The following is a 22,833-nucleotide window of genomic DNA, read 5'->3' as shown; positions in this document are numbered from 1 at the left end:
TAGATAAATTTTGAAATGAAGTTTTAGTGCTTCTGTATACAACTTGGACTAATATGTATTATTTTGTCTCAGATAAATAGGCCTTGACTTAGTTCACAGAGAGTAGAAGAAACAGGAAGAGAGAAAAAGTAAAACGGAGAGAGAGAGAGATTCTACCCTATTTTTTATAAGCTGATCAAAATAGATAGTTTAAAAAATCATAGCTTTCATTTTCTTTTTTAAAAAGTATTGTGTACTAGAGCTAACATTTAGAAGACCAAGTTTTACCTGGCATGGCTGTTATTACCTTGATATCATAAGGAAACTATTTCACAGATTTTACAACGTAAGATTGTTTTTTATAACTATGCTTTATGCATCATTTGAAGTTAAATGATGCATCCTAGAAATTCTAACACAGGAAACTCTCTCTTCTGTTCAAATATGGCTTGACTGATGTCACCCTGCCTCAAGTGTATTACATAAAAAGCAGAATGCAAAGAGAACAGCTGTCAGGGTGAGAAGTCTGAACACATGTTTGAAAGTAGCCTGGTGCTGACAAAATGCATTTAGTCATGCTCAAGCTTCATGAAATTGAGTTTATTAGATGAGAATTTTAAATCATATGGCTAAGAAAATTCTTTGTATCTAAACAATAAATAAAACAAAGATATAAACCTATAAGAAGATGTTAAGATTTTAATAAATGAGTTCATTTTTTCTTTCAAACTTGCATGTTTTTCTTTTCTAAGAAGCTGAAAATAGGGGAACTCTGATAACTCATTTATTGTACTGCAGTCTGAAATAAAAAGAACAAAGACTTGTTTCTTCTTCTTTCCTACTAAACTTAACAACCTTATTTGTTTTCATGGGAACTCTGTGTGGCACCACAGAGATAATTGTACCATAGTCTGAGATAGGATGTTGCAATCTATAACCCCAAGTGACAACTAGAATTCAATTAGGGGAACAAAAACTGATTTTTTTTCTGTATTAGCATTTGATAGTTTCCTCAGTATTATCCAAGAAGTTTCCACCTTTTTACAGAATAATTAACTCCTAGTAAAATACCTGGAAACCAATAATAAAATATGTCAGCAGAAAATATAATTAACAATCACATACTTTAATACCAAGCCCAGAAAAATACACTACAAGAAAAACAACAGCAACAAAAGAAACTTATAGGCCAATACCCCTGGTGAATATAAATACAAAAGTCCTCAACAAAATACTAGCAAACCAAATTCAATGGCAAAGTAGAAGGATCATGACTAAGTGGAATTTATCCTTAAGATTCAGTGATGGTTCAAAATAGGTGAATCAATTATTGTGATACACTAAATTAACAGAATGGAGGATAGAATCACTTTATCATCTCAGTAGATGCAGAAAAGTTTTTAACAAAATCCAACGTCCTTTCATATTAAAATCACTCAACAAACTAAGTGTAGAAGGGATTTATCTCAACACAGTAAAATCCATGTAAGAAAAGCCCATAGTTAACATTACACTTAAGGATGAAAATCTGAATGCTTTTCCTCTAACATCAAGAACTCTTACCATTTCTATTCAACATAGTACTGGAATCCCTAACAAGGGCAATTAGCCAAGAAGAAATAAAAGACATCAAAATAGTCAAGGAAAAGCAAAATTACCTCTGTTAGCAAATGATATGATCTTCCACAGATAAAATTCTAAAAGCTTCACCAAAAAACCATTTGAAATAATAAACTTATTAAGTAAGATAGCAGAATACAAAATAAATATACAAAAATCAGTTGTGTTTCTAAACACTAACGATGAACTATCCAAAAAGGAAATTAAGAAAAATCCCCTTTATAATTGCCCCAAAATTAATGAAATACTTAGTAATAAACTTAAGCAAAGAGTTGAAACAATTGTATGCTAAAAAGCTACAAAGCATTTACTAAAGAAGATCCAGATAAATGGAAAGACATTTGTATTTATGGATTGGAAGACTTAAAATTTTTTAAATGTCCATACTACCCAAAGTGATCACAGATTCCAGCAATGTGTATCAAAACTTCAATGCCATTTTTTACAGAAAAGAAAAAAACACTTCTAAAATTTATATAAAACCATAAAAGACTCAGAAGAGCCAAAGCAATCTTAAGAAATAAGAACAAAGCTGGCGGCATCACACTTCCTGATTTAGAAATGTATTACAAAGCTACAATAATTAAAACAGTATTGTACTGGCAAAAAATATAGACATATAGAGCCCAGAAATAAATGCGCACATATACAGTAAACTGATTTTTGACAAAGATGTCAAGGATACACAATGAGGAAACTAGTGTCTTCACTAAATGGAGCTGAGGAAGCTGGATATACACATGTAAAAGAATGAAATTGAATGCATAACTTTTACCGTACACAAAATTAACTCAAAATTGATTAAATATTTAAATTTTGGACCTGAAAATATAAAGCTCCTAGGGAAAAAAAGGAGAAAAAAATTATGATCGGTTTTGGTAATGATTTATTGGATATTACACCAAAAGCACAAACAACTGAAGCAAAAGTAGACAGGTAGGTCTATAGGACACTAAACAGCTTCAGCACGCATACACACACACAGACACACACACACACACACACACACACACACAAAATCAACAGTGAAAAGGCAGCCTTCAGAATGGGAGAAAATATTTTCAAATTATGTATTTGATAAGTGGTTAATATCTACACTATATAAGGAACTTCTATTACACAAAAGTAAAACAAAAACAAAAATGATCTGAAAATAGCTAAATCGCTTAAATAGACACTTCTACAAAGAATAAATACAAACAGTCAACAGAGATAGGAAGAGATGTTTAACTAAGCATCTCTAATCATAAGAGAAATACAAATCAAAACCATCATATCACCTCTCATTGGTTAAAATGGCTATTACAAAAACTACCACCACAACAAAACAAAATATAACAAGTGTTATTAAGGATGTAGAGAAATTAGAATTCTTGTATACTGTGGGTACGAATGTGAAAATGGTATAACCACTGAAGAAATTAAAAACTATTTCAAAAGTAACTGTAGTAGTCATCAAACTATCATATGATCCAGCAATCCTATATCTGGGTATATATCCGAAAGAATTGAAATCCGAATCTCTAAGATGTATCTGCACTTCCATCTCATTGTATCATTGCTCACAATAGCTAAGATATGAAAACAATAAAAACCATCTATAGATGGATGAATGGATAAAGAAAATGTGGTATTTACATATATTGGATTAATATTGAGCCTCAATAGGAAAAAAATCCTGCCATATGCAACAAAAATGATGAACCTGGAGAAAATTATGCTAAGAAAAATGTGCCAGTCACTGAAGGATAAATACAGTATAATTCCACTTATTTAAGGTATCTAAAATAGACTCATAGAAACAGAAAGTAGAATAGTGGCTATCAGGAACTAGAGGGAGGGGAGAATGGGGAGTTACTGTTCAATGGGTATAAAAGTTTCAGTTACGTGAGATAAACATGTTCTAGAGATCTGCTGTTCAACATTGTGTCCGTAGTTAACAATATTGTATTGGGCATTTAAAATTTTGTTAAACGGGTCAACCCCATGCTAAGTTGTTCTTACCATGATCTTAAAAGTCACAACACATGATTACTATGCATAAGTATGTAGCTACTAAGCATATAGAATCTATAACATAAATATTAAGATAAATGCATTCTGCCAAGTAGTCATACAGAGATTTATTTGATAATTTATTTAAACTGTGGGGAATAAAGTTGATTGTATTTTTGCAAATTATGAATTTAACATTATCAGATGGTATTTTACATTTTGATTTCTCTAGAGATTAAACCTTACAAGTATGGGATGCTGCATTTTTTATTTTTCTGAAATATTTATTCATTCCATGTGTCCCATTAGAAGAATTGTTTATGCAATGTAAGTCTTGCTTCCCATTATACATTTTTCTTGTTGTAGGCATTCAAGTAATGTTCTTAAAACACCTTTAACAAAAGGTTCCTCATTAATTAAAATTAATGATCCAAGTCATAAAAGGCATTTCCCTTTCCCCATCAGGTCCCTGAGGTCTCACTGAGTGTTATTAGCAAACATTTCATTTTAATGGATGAAACTTCCAACTGGGTTACTTCCCACCTAGCAATTTTGTGGCTGACATATTTGGTGACATGGTTTGACATGTCACTGAGAATAATTTCCCCTATTAGTGTTTATATATTCTTAAGCAAACAAAAACAAAACAAACAAAAAGCTACCTTCCCTCTTCTCACTACGTCCCTTCCACTCTCATAAACAATAATCAGTGCAATATTACCAGGAGAACACTGAAAATTATTCCTCCTCATATTCAGTAAATTGTCCTTATTGTCTCCTTCACATCTGGGAGGTATTTTGCCATCTTACTTAGGGTAGTTCTCATGTAGGGCTTGGCAGCTTTCTCCTTTCCTGGGTTAAGGGTCTTCATTCCTGTGCCCTGAAGCACATTCAGAGCTCTCTTTTTCATTTTCTCAAAGAAGCTGAGGGAACTAGTATATTAAAAAAAAATTCCTGTCTTACATTTTGGAGTTTCTGAGGTATATATATATTACTTTGTAGCTTTTGCTAACATTCCACAAATCTAAAATAATTTATTAGGAATTTGTGATAGAAAAATGAAAAAGAAATATTAATCAAAGAGGGGAAAAGGAGAAAGAAAAGCAGAGAAGAGAAAAAGAAGGTGGAGGTGGAAAGAGAAAGTGTGGGATAAACAGAGAGAAAAAGAGACAGGAAACAGATGAACGAAAGGTGAGAGAAGAGTTGGGGGAAGAAAAGACACCTACTCACACTATACAGTATAATACTATGTTTAAATTTATAGATTTTAAAACCAGACTAGCTGTTCACATCCAATTTTCACTGCTTCATGACTAAAAAGACAGTGAGATATTTGTTCAACTTTCTCTTGCTTCATCTTTCTCATTTAAAAAATGAGAAATTGTATTTAAACTGAAAATTGTATTTAAACAGAAAAAATGAGGTACACTATTACTTTATGGTGAGCATTATTAAATATAGACGCACAAATGTGCACACTCCATGGGCTCCTGAGGAAGGAAATCCTTCAACTAGCTTTGAGCCACAAATACATCAGAAGGTTTTTGTTGATTGATTGTTGATGATTCATAGACACTGATTCATTTCAATTTACTCTGTTCCAGAAAACTGAATGACTATTCCATGCACCTGCACAACACACGATTAGACAGAGAAGTAGAAAAGATGAATCATTTGTCAGGGGATATTCAAAGCTTCTAATGCACATTTCTTTCATTCTACAACCTCCTACCTTCACTTATCTGATATGCCTTCATCTAAGAGTGATTCATTAGATCAGGAGTAGCATGTTCCATGATCATCTTATCGTTGTGTTTTGTTTGTTATACAATCATTTTTACAGAATGTTATTTAATGTGGTTGCCTATATGTTTGACTACCTTGTTTTAACATTTAATATATTGAGAGCGTATCTTAAACACTGGGACATAGAGACTAAATTTCAGTTTCAGAAATGTTCAGTTTTAGAAGTCATAGTACACTCCCCCAACACACACACACACATATATGTATACCTGTAAAGCCTTTATGTTAGCCAGTAGCTTCCATCATCCTAGAGATTTCGGTTATGATGCCCTGAATTTCCTCCTTGTCAATGCACATTGGCTTCTAATTCCCTCTTAAAAATATTGAGAAACTCCAAGATGATATATCCCTACATTTTCTCATCATTTGTAGGCTAGGCTTCATCTTTCTGTGTCCTTGCCCTTTAACTTAACAGCTCTGTCATGAAATTCAGAGAAAGACAAAAACTATATATTTTGATGTGTGCGTATTCAAAAATTTAAAAGTTTTACCCAAGAAATTTTAATTATTTATACTTTCATCAGGTTATTTCTGTTCGATCATGGAAAGATCCCTTAAATTAGAAAATATGTGTCTTAAATCAGTTGGCATTGTTTTTAATTCATTATTTCACACTTTTAAAACCCAAACAAAATAGCTTCTTAGGCAAATAAATCCAAATATTTTCAACGGCTGGACTTTAATTTTCTATGAGAGTTTATCTCATAGAAAAATTATACATGCATACACACACACACACACACACACACACACACGTCTTTCTCATTCTCATTTGAACGCTTAATGTTTACCTTAAAGCATTAAGTAGGCATTATCATACTTTCCACTGAAGAAATTCTTTGAAACTTGCTTAATGGTTTCACAGTCAAAGCAATTATCTCTATCACTGCCTAACTGGGCAGCTTGTTCTCCAGAGCAAAATTAATAGATATCATTTAATGGTCAGAGCTATTTCTAACCTTTCCATGACTCTAGGGCACTGAAACTGTTTGTTCAATCTACTGCACTTACATAAAAAGCTGCTGCTAACAGCTTGGATTTAGCATCAATTTTTGATAACAGAAGGTCTTTCACAGCAGGGTCAGCACACTCAGTGTGGTGCAGTACAATGGCAACAAGAGCTGTCAATATTATGAAAATGCAACTCAGGACACTGATGTTAAAAAATGTGCAGCCTAGGTTTCTTATGGATGTATACACTGTACCTTCATTCATGCTATCACATGTTTTTGAGCTGAAAAGAATATATTACAACATAAATGGAAAAAAAAATGAATGAATCATGAAAACTGTAATTCAAATATGTGAAGAGGAAATCCAAACCAATGAAATCAGAATACGTAAAACAAAATAGTTTGAAATTTAAGTTTTATGTATGTAAATATTTAAGTGTACTTGTTCCTAAAAGTAAACATTTCCATAAATAAAAATAATAATATATATACCTTCTTGACATTTTTTACATTATGGTGACTGTATATGCTAAAATATTTTAAGTCAAAAAATGTAATGGGATATTTCAGCTCAGAACACAATATGATAAAATAGATACAGTACTGGTGAAAAGACCAGCTGTACATTTTATTAGTGCCATGAGAGGATTTCAATAATATTAGCAATAATTTTTGCTACTGTGCTGCATACCAAGGGAGCTGACTCCTCTGAGAAAGATGATTATACTGAGTATTGTTTGAATAAATATAACTATGTTTAAAATATAAATTTTATTTCATTATTAAATAAATCAGTCAATACAAATATAATGTGAATCATTTTTAGATTATGATTTGTTCTAAAATGTTATTGTTCATGGAACAGGTTCTGTAATGCAGCAATATGTGTTAATCTCACATCTACTAATAATAAACAGGTTTTTAAAATATTAGAAAATGTCCTCTGGTCTGTATTCTGGTATTGAATAAATTATAATTATTAGTATCACCAGCTGTATAAAAAATTATAAAAATAATGTAGGCAATGTGTCATCTATAAAAGTACATTTAAATTTACTTTGGAGACAAAAACTTGGGATAGAAATTTATTTTCTAAGGTCTTAATTTTTCAAAAAAAGTGCTCTAAAAAAAGATGAATTAAAATATACCACTGCATAGCACAACAAAACTAGCTACATCCAATACTATCTGAATTCTAATGGAAGGCAGGAATTCAACATAAGCTTTTTAGAAAAGTTATTTAAAAGAGATTAAGTCTAGGAGGAACTAGGTGCAAATACCATAAACAAAAACTTGGCTTTTCTTGGTCTTTATAAATTGAATCCCAGTGTTGAACTCTAACTGTTTTCTCATATCTCTCTCTCCTTATTTTATTCAGCTTCTGTGGACTCTTCCGTTTGGTGACAACTAAGGCTTTAAAATTGCTGGTCTGCAGATGAAACTGCCAGAAGCAATTCTGTTAATGGATCTTTTAAAAGTGGCTTAGTAAAAAACAATATGTTTGTGAACGTTCTTTTGGGTTAACTAAACAAATTATCAACTAAACAATAACTAAATATTACAACAGAAATGTTAAAGCAAATAACAAAATATAACTCCCTTTTACAGAGTCATACCATTAATATTTGCATTTCTTTCTATTAAAAAATGTAAAAAATGTATATCCAATAACTACAAGAAGTATACACTGAACTTTTCCTTGATTCTCCTTGGTGTGAACTTCAAATGTCCTTTTCACTGTCTGAACAGTGTACTATCAGTAATGTTAGCTCTGAGAAGACTTTTAGAATCTTCAAAGACAACATCCTTTTATTTTTATGACAATCAAACGAGCTTATAAATTTTTCATCAGATGATAAAGTGTCAGGTAGCTTAATTGATTTACTGGTTTCTTAAAATAAATAATTGCTCAGAAATTATCATTTTTGCATCTTCACCATAGCCTTATAAATGTCATTTAGACAGTGGAAACAGAAAATCCATTAGTATATATTTAGTTGGCAGTTCTGAATGCTGTATAATATATTTTTAAATATCTATTTGATTGAATTAGGATTGCTTTGTCCTGGTATATTGGAATTACATCAAAGTTATGATGGATGGTGTGCTCTCACACCAAGTCACTTTTCATTGTAAAACCATAATGATTATAATCAAAATCAATTTCAAGGGCTCCAAGCCCTTTAGGATGACTACAGTGGCCAAAATAATAGAAAATTAAAATGATTTAAAATCCATCTTAGCCCTGTGTATCTTAAATATTATACTTTATCACATTATGTAAATTACATATATTTGCAACAGAGTCTAGTTTAACAGCCTCTTATGTCCTCATGCAAGTGATAAGGGTGACATACTATCTACTTTGTAATGAGTGCATAAAATGATAATTTTGTAGGCAAACATTCCCATCCTGCTGGCAGATGGTATAAAGGCTGTTCAAGAACCTTTTCAAAGCAAGCTGAAATAATCTGATAATGAATAAATAGCAGATGCTGTCATTATAAATTTTAGAATATACACACAAAATACATTCTAAGATAGATTCTATTGAAAGCACACTTTAGCCAAATTTGTTCTAGCATATTTATTTTTAGTGTAATCTTCTCACTACTTCACATGGATCACAACTATCAAATACTGCTATAATTATCTCAGATGGTATCCTCAAATGACCTCCTAACTATATTTATCTATTTTGATTATAATCATACAAAAACATGCAGTATTTTTCAATATATATGTTTTTTAATAAAAAATATATTGTGCACTAAAATATAGCTGCAATTCTGACTTTCAATTTAATTCACCCACTTTTTCTGAAAATAAAACTTTAAAGCCTTAAGTAAAGGGTTTATTAGTTTATTCTCATTTTTTAAATTATTAGATAGAAAGCCGACTTGCAAGAATTCTAGAAAGAATTTATCTTTATACTTTTATTCAGAGATGGACTAATTATTCCCATTGTGATAATGTGAATTTTGTCCTTTGGTTCAGTTTTGTTGCCATTTTTAGTTTGACCACTTGCTGTACGACTTTCTATTTTATTTTATTTTATTTTATTTTATTTTATTTTATTTGTTTATTTTGAGACAGGGTCTGGTTCTGTCACCCAGGCTGGATGGTGTGATCTCGGCTCACTACTACCTCTGCCTCCTGGGTTCAGGCGATCCTCCCACCTCAGTCCCCCAAGTGGCTGGGACCACAGGTACATGCCACCATATTGGCTAATTTTTTTGTAGAGACAGAGTTTCACTATGTTACAGCCCAGGCTGGTCTCAAACTCTAGAGCTCAAGCAATCTGCCTAATTTGGCCTCCCAAAGTGCTGGGATTACAGGTGTGAGTCATTAAGCCTGGCCTTTGATTTTCATCTCTTTTAATTCTGTAAAATAAAACTTATCACTTGGCTTTCTTCATTTTTAATTTACCTTGAACCTCAAAGTTGTTAACATGGTTCAAAATTTGGTGATAAATGTTGAGAACCCTTGGGTAGGGAGAATAATGTTCAGTATAGAACATGACAGTGAACAAACATTATAAACACTTTGCCCTGGGTTTGGCTGAAATGATTTTAACAGAGTTTCCTAATCAAATACTATCTGATAATCATATACTGTCTTTGAACAAGCAAAGAAATAACGTATTTTTTAAAACATTTGAAAGGCAGTTTTTCTCAACTAGTGTATAATTTGGATCGAGCTGTAATGATATACTTGGAGGAATTCACTCTTTCAGTTGAGATTTGTATGCTGTACTTCAAACTAAATTCCAAGCATTGCCATAAGTTTCAAATTTCAGTTCATTGTGTAAGGATTGGGAATATGGCAGAATTTAAAAAGTCTCATGAGTTTTTGTCAATTACATTATAAACAAAGCTCTACCTAAGAGAATCCTTTCTTTTGTACTGTGCCTGGAAATACAGAAGCTACTATGTAGTATTTACTATCCAAAGCTTCCTTTTTCAGCAAGAAAAGTTTCCTTCATTTCTTTCATGCTAATAGTTGTCTTTCTCACTTTCATTATGATGTTTAAAGAAAGATAAGTAAATAGTACTTATTTATTGAATACCTCCAGCATATTTTTAAAGGGTTTAGATGAAAAGCACATTGTATGTAAATATTCTATTTGTCACCTTGTCTGATGTAATTTACATTAAAAGTACTGCAGTATACATAGTGGGAAATACGTATATTATTTTTATCTATATTCCAGGCTCAGTTATTTGATTTGAATTATTTTGTGTATAAATATATGGTCCACTAGTTGTTAGCTTTTGAAATATAGCAGGGATAAACAGAACAAAGGTGATTACTTAATCAGTGTAAATATAATTATCCAAAACTTTCCATTAGCATTTGTTAAATAACATTGTGGAGCCTAGAAATAATTCTCTAATGAATGTGTTTGGTCTAGGAGAGATGTCCAAATTTCTACCAAAGCAATGCTGTTCTGTCCGCAGTAGGCAGTTTGTGTGGAGGTCCAGGGGCCCAGCCAGGTACTCTATTTCTAAATTCCTTTTCCCTTTGGTGTGGTCTTCTAATTTATTGTAATCAAAGGAAGGCTAAGAGAATTAACATGTACCTTTTTGTGTGTGTATGCCAGAGGTACATTTTAAGAAGGGCTTTCACATTCTACAACTTGTCTTTTTCCTCTTCTAATTTATGGGTTTACAAAGTAGGTCTATATTCTTCTTCTTTTCTCTTTTCCCTTCTGATTTGCAGGGGTAGATGATGAGATGATCCTTACAGGTTGAAAAAGCCATAGATTTAACAAGCATGGAGGCACTCCCTAACTCTATTGTGTAGGCCCATCATCCTTGCTTGAATGAGGCATACCAATCAAGCAAACCTAGCTGCCAAATACTTTCAGGATATCACGTGAGCGTGAGTATCCCAGGACATCTCTGTGTTCCACCTTCACAAATGTCTTCTGAATAACTCTGTCTATAAACTTCGGTAATCAGAATCAAGACATCACATTAGTTTATATTGTGGAGGAATGTGACTTTCCAGGGGCTTCTCCTAGTCCTAATTGCAGAGAATGTGACTTTATCGAGAGAATTTTACTCTTGTTGTTTTTCATTGCATACTCATAAGTGTTTAAACATACAAAACATAGTCCAAAGACTGGATTTTATTTAAATATTTTTCTGGTTACAAATTACTAAAAGAATGGATGTATAGCTTTTGTGTACATGTTAATAGAATAGGTTAATTATATATATCAAAATCATAAAACAATGTTTGAAGAGTTAATTTAGGTAAGTTCAAAGTAAAATTTTATAAATGTGGGCATGAACAAAAATACTGACTCACTATAACTTGAGGCTGAGAAAGAAGTGGCCATGCTACAACACTGAGTGATATTTAGTGTTTTTTTAAATTTCCATTAAAAGTATGTTAACAATTTCCCAAATTTTAAGTAAGTTGCTTAGATTGCAGTTTCCACAGTTGCAGAAATGTATTTGGAAGTGCTATAAATAAAAGTTTGGCTTAGAGATTTTTTATCTTCTTTTTGAAAATGTTTAAATTTGACCATTTAAGTGATAGTTTTTAAACTCCTTTTAGTGAATTTTGTTTGATAAACTCCCTTGAAAAACATACAAACAGAAAAATATATAGGACAAGTTTTAATAATATAGTGACATTCTATTTCCATTAGGATATTTTTACTCTGAGATAGAAAGGGAGGACAAATTAGAATGGTCTAATGATCTCAACTCCAATTCTCGAAATACCCTTCATTAATCTTTGATAAATTTATCCTAATAGGCTTACAAATAATAATTCACTCTGAGTTGCAGAGCAATCAGTTACTTATTCTTTAGATCTCTTTATATTCCTGCCTTCCCTCAGAAATTCACTGGTTGCTAAAAAAAAAAATAAAAATACCTTTTAGATTAACAAAAGATAGAAAGCAGAAGTAGCTTATTTGCAAGTAATCCATGTGTGTTGTTTACATTTAGATCATTTTTTTTTTTACTTTTCTCATTAGATAACCCTACACCTTTAATCTATGGAGTAATATAAAATTAAAATAGTTCAGAGTTTGCCCCAGCCTCGTATTAGAGCTTCAATGTTTTCATGTCTTTTAAAAAGGGTTAAATGTCAACATTAGGAATCATTTGCTTTAGCTCAATAATCCCAAGACGATAAAGGAGAAAGAGATAAGGGGGAAGAGAAATAAAGATGAACAGGATAAACTACTTTCTCCCAAATTTAGTAGTTGTTTGCTTTTTTTCTTAAAATTATTCTTTGAATGTGAATGTCAATTAAACAGTAGGAAGTTTTCTCCTCAATAAACTTTATTCCAAAATGCACTAGTGAAAAGAACTGACAGTTGCAAATGGTAAATTGTAATATGATAAGTAGAAAACAATATAATTTTCTAAAAAAATAATATATTGAGGTAAGCAAGGAAAATTATTGTGCCAAGTGCAGAAAAAAACAGATAAATGGTGATCTTTAATCACTAAATATTACCAACAGGAGACAAGAGAAATGGGTAATTTCTTTTAGCCTTTATTTTATCCTCACTTACCATTATCTCATTGAGGGGGGAAAGATAAATCTATATAACTTTTTACCAATTATTTTCCAAGTTAAAATCCTCTAATACCATGTCTATTTTAAAACTTTACATAGTAAAAGGTACAAACTAAATCTTCAGAAATTTGTATTATCATGATCATAAGGGTTCTTCTTATTCCATTCCATATAGTTTAAAATGCTTTTGCTGGTTTGTGTGAAATAATGCCATCCTGTATAACATGGCAGGATGCCATTGTATTACTTTCACTTTTGAAAATCATAATTAAAACTCATAATTTATTAAATACAACATGTACATTATCAATGATAATCAATATTGCATATTTTCTATAAAAAAGAATCATATGGATCAAATCTATGTAAACAATGTCATTATGACCTTGAAGTGCAGTGCAGGCCTATGATCTTCCAAAATACTGTCTGATGTTCCAGACCATATCTCTGAGTTAGCTTAATATGTTCTGATGAAGTTCAGAATTCATTGTTTCATAGATAGGGTGAATACTGTACCTTTCACTCCATTAGTGACTGCCAGATTCATTTTGGATTTGACATTCCCTATCTAATTTGACACCAAATAGCTAATCTCTTTACCCTTTAAATTTCTGATGTGTCATATTGCATTACATTTCTTCTGTCACCTTCCACCACTGTATATTTTGTCGCATAGAAAAGCCAATGTGATTTGACATAACACAAGATGATGGGATCCAAGAGACTTAAAGCAATGCTAGTCAGTGAAGCAGAAATGTGACACATTGCTTCAAATGTGCAAATACTCACTTTTTGAAAAGCAGATATCTGCTAAAAGCAGTTATGTAGGGTGATCCATAATAGTTAAGGAAAAAGATATGGATTTTACCTTTTAGTGGCAAATTTAAAACATTGTGCTGCCCTATATAAATAACAGAAAAATTGATTCGAAGTGACAGTGGCCAGAGAAAAATTAGTTTGATTCTCTTCTATTCTGTGTGGTAAGCATTCTCCTAAACTCAATAAATAATCCACCAAAATGCCTCTCACAGTTTTGTCACTTTATTTTGGATGAAATCATAAATAACTTGCATAAATTTATTTATGACCAAGCAAAAATTGTCTTTTGCATTATAATATCTAGAATAATAGTAATAGTAATAAAATACACTGAAAAGAAATAAATTTTCAAAGTGCTCAAGTACCTTTTTTTTTCTCATTTTGAAGTTGTATGTGTTTTTATAGTACCAAGTTATAAATTGGTGCAAGGTCAATAATATCCATAAGATACATACAATCTAGCAGCTCATATACAACCCAGAAGTACCTTGGAAGCCATGATTCTGCCTCTTTTCGCACAGATTATTTTTCAGTTTTTTGAATTGGGCTTTCACAGTGAATTTGTTGATATATGCCATGAATGAAGGCTAGCATAGAATATAGAGAAATAATCTACAATTCAGAAGCACGGATAAGGTTAATATGACTAGGGTTAACATATATTTTTTAATATCGAATGCACTGTATCTGAGTACACATTCTATAATTGGAGATTCCCCTATACAGTTAGTTTGGTGGATCATAAAGCCAGTATTCCAGTAAAGAGAGTACTATATTAAAAAAATGTAATCACCATCTACTTGGAAGCTCAAATACCGACGAGGAAGTGTGAATACAAGAGTATGAATTAGAGTAGAGCAGTCTGAATTAATCAATGCCCAACAAGAAGCTAACAAAAGAATGAATACATGGATTCTCTTGGAGGATAGTGATGACATCAAAATCTTATTTTCATTAGTAGCTTTGGCAGAAGTACCTGAAGTTGTGCTGGCAGCATGACCAGTGCCCAGTTTCACATATGACACTAGAGCAAATTCTGAGCACACTGTTCAAAGGCAGTGGCAGTGTGGTTTTTGCCTGACAGATCATGGTGAAATAGCTACTGAGATGTCTAGCTCCTCCTGTCCTTTCCCTTCTCTCTTAGCCTGTTTCTTCAGACTTGTGTTAAATATTCTAAGCTACTCAATATACTTTCTATGTATTTCCTTTCAGTTTAATTTGGGCCATTTTTTTTCATTGTTCAATTCTAAGAATTCTGACTAATAAAAAACTGTGATATATTTTTTAAAAAATTTGCAACTTGAAATAAAAAATGGACAAAGAATTTAAAAAGCTACTTCTAAAGAGTACAAATTCTAATGGATATTAACAAATAAAAGAAACAACTCTCCTATTGTTTTGCAAAGTGCAAATTACATTAATGTAGAGATGTCGTTTCACTTGCCACATTAGACTTTTTTGATAATATTGAACATATGTATTTCTTAAAAAGAAAACAACAACACACTTTTGACCTAACAGTCTTCTTGGGATTCTCAACCATAGAAATAAATGCATGAATACATAAAGGTAAATACATGATAAAGGATGTTTAGTGAAATGCTATTTGTATTATGAAAACATTTAAAGAGTAAATACCAATCAGAGGGGAAAATTTTAACAAATTGTGGCACATCAATTATGTGAAATAATCTGTAAATCCTAAATGAATGTGTTAACTTCATTCCAGGTAAATAGATACATTTAATTTGGAACTTTTCAGAGGAAGAAGCAAAATGACTAACAGTATGGCAACATGGTCTAAGTACAACAAAAATATTTATATTTACGTTTAATTTTAAATATTTACATCTATATTTATACTTGCATTTGATTAGTTGGTATGTTTTATACATGTACAACTAGATTAATTTAATGTACAGATACATTATTATATTAATATTTTTATTCAAAATCAAAAGGAAATATAATAACAAGGCTTACACGGAATACTATGCAGCCATAAAAAGGAACAAGGTTATGTCCTTTGCAGTGACATGGATGGAGCTGGAAGCCATTATCCTCAGCATACTAACGCAGGAACAGAAAACCAACACCACATGTTCTCATTTATAAGTGGGAGCTGGACAATGATGAGAACACGTGGACACAGAGAGGGGAACAACACACATTGGGGTCTGTGGGGGTGGCAGGCATGAGGAGGGGGAGCATCAGGAAAAATAGCTAATGCATGCGGGACTTAATACCTAGGTAATGGGTTGATAGGCACAGTAAACCACCATGGCACACGTTTACTTATGTAACAAACTTGCGCATCCTGCACATGTACCCTGGAACTTAAAATAAAAAAATAAAAAACAAGGATTACTGTGAAAGTGTGTAACTAAATAGTACTTAGGAAAAAAGAATATGGCCAGTGAGAATGAAAAATCCCAGTAAGAACTGGGTGTAATGGTCCAGTATTATATTCGGTAAAAAGCATGGAGAATTGTATCAGATTCATCCTTTGAATCTCACAGCTGAATAGTTCTCACTACTGCCTTTGGGAAGTAATTACAACTGAATTACGACCCACTCACTGTATGTGTGCAAATCCATAGAGTAAGGTATCACTATGATGGAGCTTATCTTAATACCATAAATGTTACTGGCTTATCATGACTTTGTGTCCTTTTCTCTGTTTTTAATACTTGAATCCTTGCTTCAGAGGTATCCTCAATTCCCTTCTCACTTGAAGGACATTGGGTTTTGTTGTGCAGCCAATTTCAGGTTAAGACTGCTTGGTATGCTACTAATTGCTAATGAATTCATAGTAGAAAAAACTGCCTGTCTGATTAAATCTAATGTCATCAATTTCTAGCTCACTGTTACTGTGCTACAGTGTAGCAGTCTCAGATACCCTTTTTACTTCGGTTTGGATCTTGCATATTCTTATTTCACGTGAAGACTAGCAGTTGCCTGTTTTTGTAAATATAATGTGAAATCTCTGGATTTCACTTCCCCATTATCTATACTCAGTTCTAGCCCTCATAAAGGGAATACCTCACACAATTCGATCAGCCCCAGTTCTTTATTATGTACCCATTTGGTCTGCCCCAACACATTTAATAATCAGGGTCATAATTGACTATAATTGCCATGTAAAAATGGAAAAATCATATCTATATACAATTAAAATACAGTTTAACGGCTAAATATGAGAGTATGCTTATTAATAAATGGCAATGCTAAAGGTATTCTCATTAAAAGTACAAAATATACTATTAGATTGAGATCTGAAATCCAAAGGAAAAAAATACACACTTTAGGAAGTAGGAGGCTTGTATATATTAGTCCAGATTGATGTTATTTTTTGTCATTGTAAGTATGATAGATAATATTCGATTAATAGGACTAAATGTTATCCTTCCAGAAGAGCCAGTTTTCTACTAGAAATTTATTGAGCTCCATCAATAATACAACTTCAAGGAAATTTCAAAAATACTGAAAAATGTTCTAGAAATAACAGCTCATGGTATCACCAAAAGCATGTAAATAAATGAACATATATCCCCCTTCAAGCTGTTTTATTTTGTAAAATAATGTAAAATTTCAAAAATAATATACTTTGAGCATACAAAAAATGAGAATTTTTATTCAATAAAGAAATCTACATATACACCCTTGGAGTCATTTTAATCAAAGCTTTTCTCAAAATGAGAATTTAACAAACAGTGACTGTATGGGAAACAACTCAGAATTTTTTTGAACCACTCACAGAATGTAATTATTTTTTATTATAGTTAAAAAGAAATTAAACTTTTTAATTAGAAAGTTACATTGTAATTTGAATCTAAGCAACTGTTCATAAAATAGCCACCGGCACTGTCATTAAAGTAAAAATAGATTGAATTTAAATTGAAATAAATGTCTTTTTAAAAACCACAGCTGGGGTCCTAACACCATTTTCTCCATAAAGTTCTCCTAAAATGAAAGCTCTAAATTCTTGGGATCATATTTTCCATTTTATGAGTTAGCAAATTTTTTCAAAAAATATATACTTCTTTCTATTTCATAGCTTTAGTATTACATTAACTGTTTTTAGTTGTAAGATTCATTATCCGAAGGAGTGATTTCGACATTAATGCCTGAGAATATCTAATCTTTCCGTTACATGAAAAAAAAGCTAGTTGAGTAAATGGAAGAGTCTGTGATGCATTGATGCATATTTTAATTCAATTATAGTGCCAGTGATGGAATGACTATTACAGGTTAATAGTTCTAATTTTTCCATTAATGGTTTATCTTTTTTATTGGGCCTTGTAAAAAAAGTACAAATAAGTGTTTCACCACGAATATTCTTAAAAGGTATACAAAATGGTACTACAGAGCTTAAGCTTGATATGTTACACCACTGATAATGAAAAAAAAAATGCATACAAATATTCCATGAAGAAAATAGTGAGCTGCTGGATAAATTTGAAGCCTTAAAAAAATTATGATTCAACTAAAGCATCTTGTTAGTTTTTGTGTACCTTGATAGAAAAGGCAGTGTTTCTGTTTTCAAAATTTGAAAACAAGAGTCAACCAGTGAGCAATCAAGCATTTATATATTTTAGTGCAAGTTGTATGCTACCACCATTTATCTTGAAGTAATTTGTATGTAATTTCAACTACCTTTTTTTTTTTTTTTTTTTTTTTTGTGACAGATTCTCACCCTGTCGCCCATGCTAGAGTACAGTGGCCAATCTTGGCTCACTGCAACTTCCGCCTACCAGGTTCGATTGATTCTCCTGCTTCAGCCTACCGAGTAGTTGGGATTACAGGCGCCCTCCATCACACCTGGCTAAGTTTTGTATTTTTAGTAGAGATGGGGTTTTGCCATGTTAGCCAGACTGGTCTCCTGACCTCAAGTGATCCGCCTGCCACAGCCTCCCAAAGGGCTGGGATTACAGGTGTGGGCCACCATGCCCAGCCTCTACTACATTTTTAAAAAAGAATTAATAAAAAAAGAAGTACGGAGATGAATGTGTTTTAGACCTTCCAAAATTAAAGGAAAGGTCTTGTGCCTGCATCATTTCATTCAATTTCTAGCTCTTATGGACTAACCCGTAATAAGGCAAGAACTGAAGGCCAAAAGGTACTATAAGTAATTTCACTTCCAAAATAGACCAAATGTTGTCAGTGCAGAAGTGAGTAGACAGGAGACTAGAATCTACTCTTAAGAATGTCTCACAAAGAAAGGAAGGGGGCTTGGAGTAATGAAAAATGTTGAACAGAAGAGAAAGAATTAGATTTATAGGAAAAAAAAGAAAAGAAAAGGAGGGGTTGGAAGAGATAGTATATAGGAGTGAGACAGTGAGAAGATATCCTGATATTATAGTTTCAGAAGGTATCTCCATTCTGTCTCAAGTGTAGAAAACAGAAAAGAGTGAGAGTGAATGTGGTTGTAAATGACCTTAAACAGAGAGAGATGGACTTTTTTTTATCATTTGAAATGGGAAGCCCCACCCTCACCTCTCAAGTCATCTGTTTCCCCCCTCCTCCCACATCCACCTGTCCCTTGCCTCTCACCAAGTAGAATGTGTGATTAAAACTTTTTCAGCAAGATTAGTGGTTGGTGGAATGTATATTAAATTTAAGAGGTTAGATGGGATGGGCGCGGTGGCTCACACCTGTAATCCCAGCATTTTGGGATGCCAAGGCAGGCAGATCACTTGAGTTCAGGAGTCCAAGACCAGCCTGGCCAACATGGTGAAGCCCCGTCTCTACTAAAAATACAAAAATTAGCCAGGCATATTGGTGTATGCCTGTAATCTGAGCTACTTGGGAGGCTGAGGTGGGAGAATTGCTTGAACCCCAGGGGGCAGAGGTTGCAATGAGCCAAGATCATGCCACTGCACTTCAGCCTGGGTGATAGAGTGAGACTCCGCCTCAAAAAAAAAAAAAAGAGGTGAGATGGAGATATCAACTTTAAAAAGATTTTGTTGTAAGAAAGAAATATTGCTGAACCTTGAACAACATGGGTTTGGACTGCCTTAGTCTACATATATCTTCATTTTTTTCAACCAACTGCGGAGGGAAAAATTCAGTATTCAAAGAATACAAAACCAATGTATATGAAGGGCCAATTTTTCATATAAGTGGGTTCCACAGGCTGACTGCAGGACTTTATGCGGATTTGGGTATATGCAGAGGTTACTGGAACAAATCCCCCACCAATACTGAGAAACTGTATATGTATATGTGTTTTCAACTGTATATATATATACACACATACACACACACACACATATATATACATATATACATAACACATATACATATGCAGTTGTTTCTCAGTATATATATATATATATATATATATACACAACTGTATACATACAGTTGAATAAGAACAGATCAAATAGGCTAGACTCAAGAAAATTCCTGAGATATAATAAGCGCAATTTATAAATCAATTTGATGTGCTGATGAAACAAAGGGAAGATGCAGGAAGGACAGGAATGATTAAAGGATTTTCTGTAAATGATAAAAATTTAGTGGACTATTTCACTAAAAAAGAGAGAATATGTGGGGCCCGGAGCTATGTATTTTCCATTTCACAAAGACAAAGCCTTTAATATTGTCTTCTGTACCACACATTTGGGAGTTAAGAAGTATTTACTGAACAATTGAATAATAAACAGGAAATTTTCGCAACTGAGGTATCAACTAGATAGGGAGTGTTGATGGATACAATTGACAAAATTGATAATTTTGTCTTCTTTTAAGTAGGTGATAGCAATATAATTCTCGAAGAAAATTCTTGATTTTTATGGCAATAAATTTATATTTATTGAATCACAAGTGAAAAATGCTAAACTTTGAGGGGGCTTTCTAGAAACAAATGTCCCTTTCATAGAAATTAAGTTTAAACATTTTCAGGCAAAACTAATTTTCTAAACAGTATGAAATATCAAATTTATGTGTCATGATCCTCTTGAGATACTTTAAAGTCACTGGAGTAATATATTGAAGGATGCTGTGTGAATCACGAAAAGTAAATTCTACAGTCAGAACTATCATAAAAGAGAGCCTGAGCATTACATTGCTGAGAGAATTTAGACAATTGAGCTCAGTTTTGCCTAAGAAATTTCAGGTGATTGAAACAAAAACACATGTAAATTTTCACTTGAAATGTAAATTTACTTTTTTTTTTCTTTCTAATTTGCCTTGCTGGTATTGAATAGTACTTTAGATGTGAAGTCAAAGAATTTCTTTGATTAGGTAAGAGTCATAAGGAAAAGGAACAATCAGGCAGTTTACAGTCAGATTTCTATTTTAGTGATGGGTGCCTGTAAGGGCTGCCAAAAGTCCAAGTGTAGCTCCCTATTTAGCAGACGAGAACCTATGTATGCACTGAGGAGAAGAAGGTTTGGGTTTAGAAGTGTTGATGTAGCCCTTCATAGTTATATGTGGTGCTTCATTTCTATTAAACACTTTAGCCAGAATGTGAAACCTTTTCTTTTCAGAAAAAAACTGCCAAGGATCCTTGGGCAGTGATTTATCGGAGCAGTAAGATGAGAGGAGAACAACCCTGCTTGTAGTACACTAGATAAATGAGGGTTCCCTGAGTGCTAAAATTGCTTGGCATGTCTGCACCTACCAAGTTATGTTTGGTAAATTATAAAAGAAAAGCCTGCATTGCAAAGCCCTTAGAAGGCAGTATCAAGTGATAAAAAAGACTGAACTAACTATGTAACTCTGGACAAGTTATTTAATCACTTTGAGTCTTATTTTATCATGTGTATAATAAGTATGAAAACACAAAACACACATAACCTAACATAGACAGTTGTCAGAGTTAAAAGAGGTAATACAAGTGGAGCGTTTAGCAAAGTACAAGACAGTAAGCAGATATTTTGTCATATAAACATTTTGATTGTTTTCCTTTTTTTATTAAACATAGCTTTTTCAAATTTATTTTAGATAACAATGCCCTAATCATCTCCTGCCAATATGATAGCCTATTTTTATTTAGAATCAGGAAACAGCAATACAAAAATGTAAGAAAAGATAATGGGAAATGGAACATGCTTATTTATTTTCTAATTTTAAGTACCAGCAGGACTATGTTGTTTATGAGCTTTTTAGTTGTAAATATGGCAAAATAAGGTAAAATGATAACTTAAAGGAATGTACTTACCATATTTGAGATAGTATCTGTTTTTTGGTACCTGAATAAAGTCTGGGAGTCCCAGCAGCCATATTTTCTTTATCACACACAATACTACTGATGAAAATACTTAAGGCAAGATAAAACAATCAAATTCCAAGAATTTCAAATTATAACGCAGCAAATGAAAAATGGAATGTGGTTAGAGTTCTCAAATGCATAACTAGAACAAACTGAATCCATCTGACTGCAGACAGAGACTCAAACTTCTCACCTTCTCACCTGATATTGTTACACAGTCGTTCCTACGTTTCCATTGAGGGTTGATACCAACCTCTGTGGGTGCCAAAGTCCCTGATATAAAATGGTGTAGTATTTGCAATTAACATGAAAATCCACCTATATACTTTAAGTCATCTCTAGATTATTTATAGTATTAAGTATAGTGCCTATACACTTCACCTGTACATTTTATTTCATTGATGCAATGTAAAAACTCAAGTTTTATTTTTTGGAACTTCATAAACTGTTTTTCTGAATATTTTTGAACTGTAATTGGTTGTCCATTCATGCAGAGTCCATTGATACAGAGGGTTAACTGTGTTTAAATTTGCCCTAGGATATAATTTTGTGAAAATTTATAGCTTATCTAATCACTCTCAATTAGATTTACAAAAATAGTGAGTGACTTTTATTTTTAGTGGAAGTGTTTTTCAAGCTAATGTAATGTCAAAATCTAAATATTATCTAACCTAAACATCCTTCCCTCATCCGGATTGATCCCACCATAGGCCAGAAACTAACAGTGAATTTCTTCTCTTTCTCCACCTCCTCCTTCTCCAACTGACAGATTTTAGATATATATAGCCTATAATTATATTATATTATACATTATATATAATATATTATATTATACATTATATATAATATATTATATTATACATTATATATAATATATTATATTATACATTATATATA

General features: G+C 32.4%; 1 long non-coding RNA gene across 1 annotated transcript in view; it reads left to right on the top strand.

Annotated features, from left to right (window-relative positions):
- The window catches only part of LINC00448 (long intergenic non-protein coding RNA 448), a 135,075-nt gene that overhangs the window by 95,895 nt on the left and 16,347 nt on the right, over window positions 1-22,833 (top strand). Inside the window, exon 6 of the long non-coding RNA NR_047029.1 lies at window positions 10,768-10,849. This is a non-coding gene — a long non-coding RNA (long intergenic non-protein coding RNA 448). The remainder of the gene's footprint in view (window positions 1-10,767; window positions 10,850-22,833) is intronic.

This window comes from Homo sapiens, chromosome 13, assembly GCF_000001405.40.
Source record: "Homo sapiens chromosome 13, GRCh38.p14 Primary Assembly".
NCBI classification, from domain to species: domain Eukaryota; kingdom Metazoa; phylum Chordata; class Mammalia; order Primates; family Hominidae; genus Homo; species Homo sapiens.
This window is presented reverse-complemented; position numbering and strand designations above follow the sequence as displayed.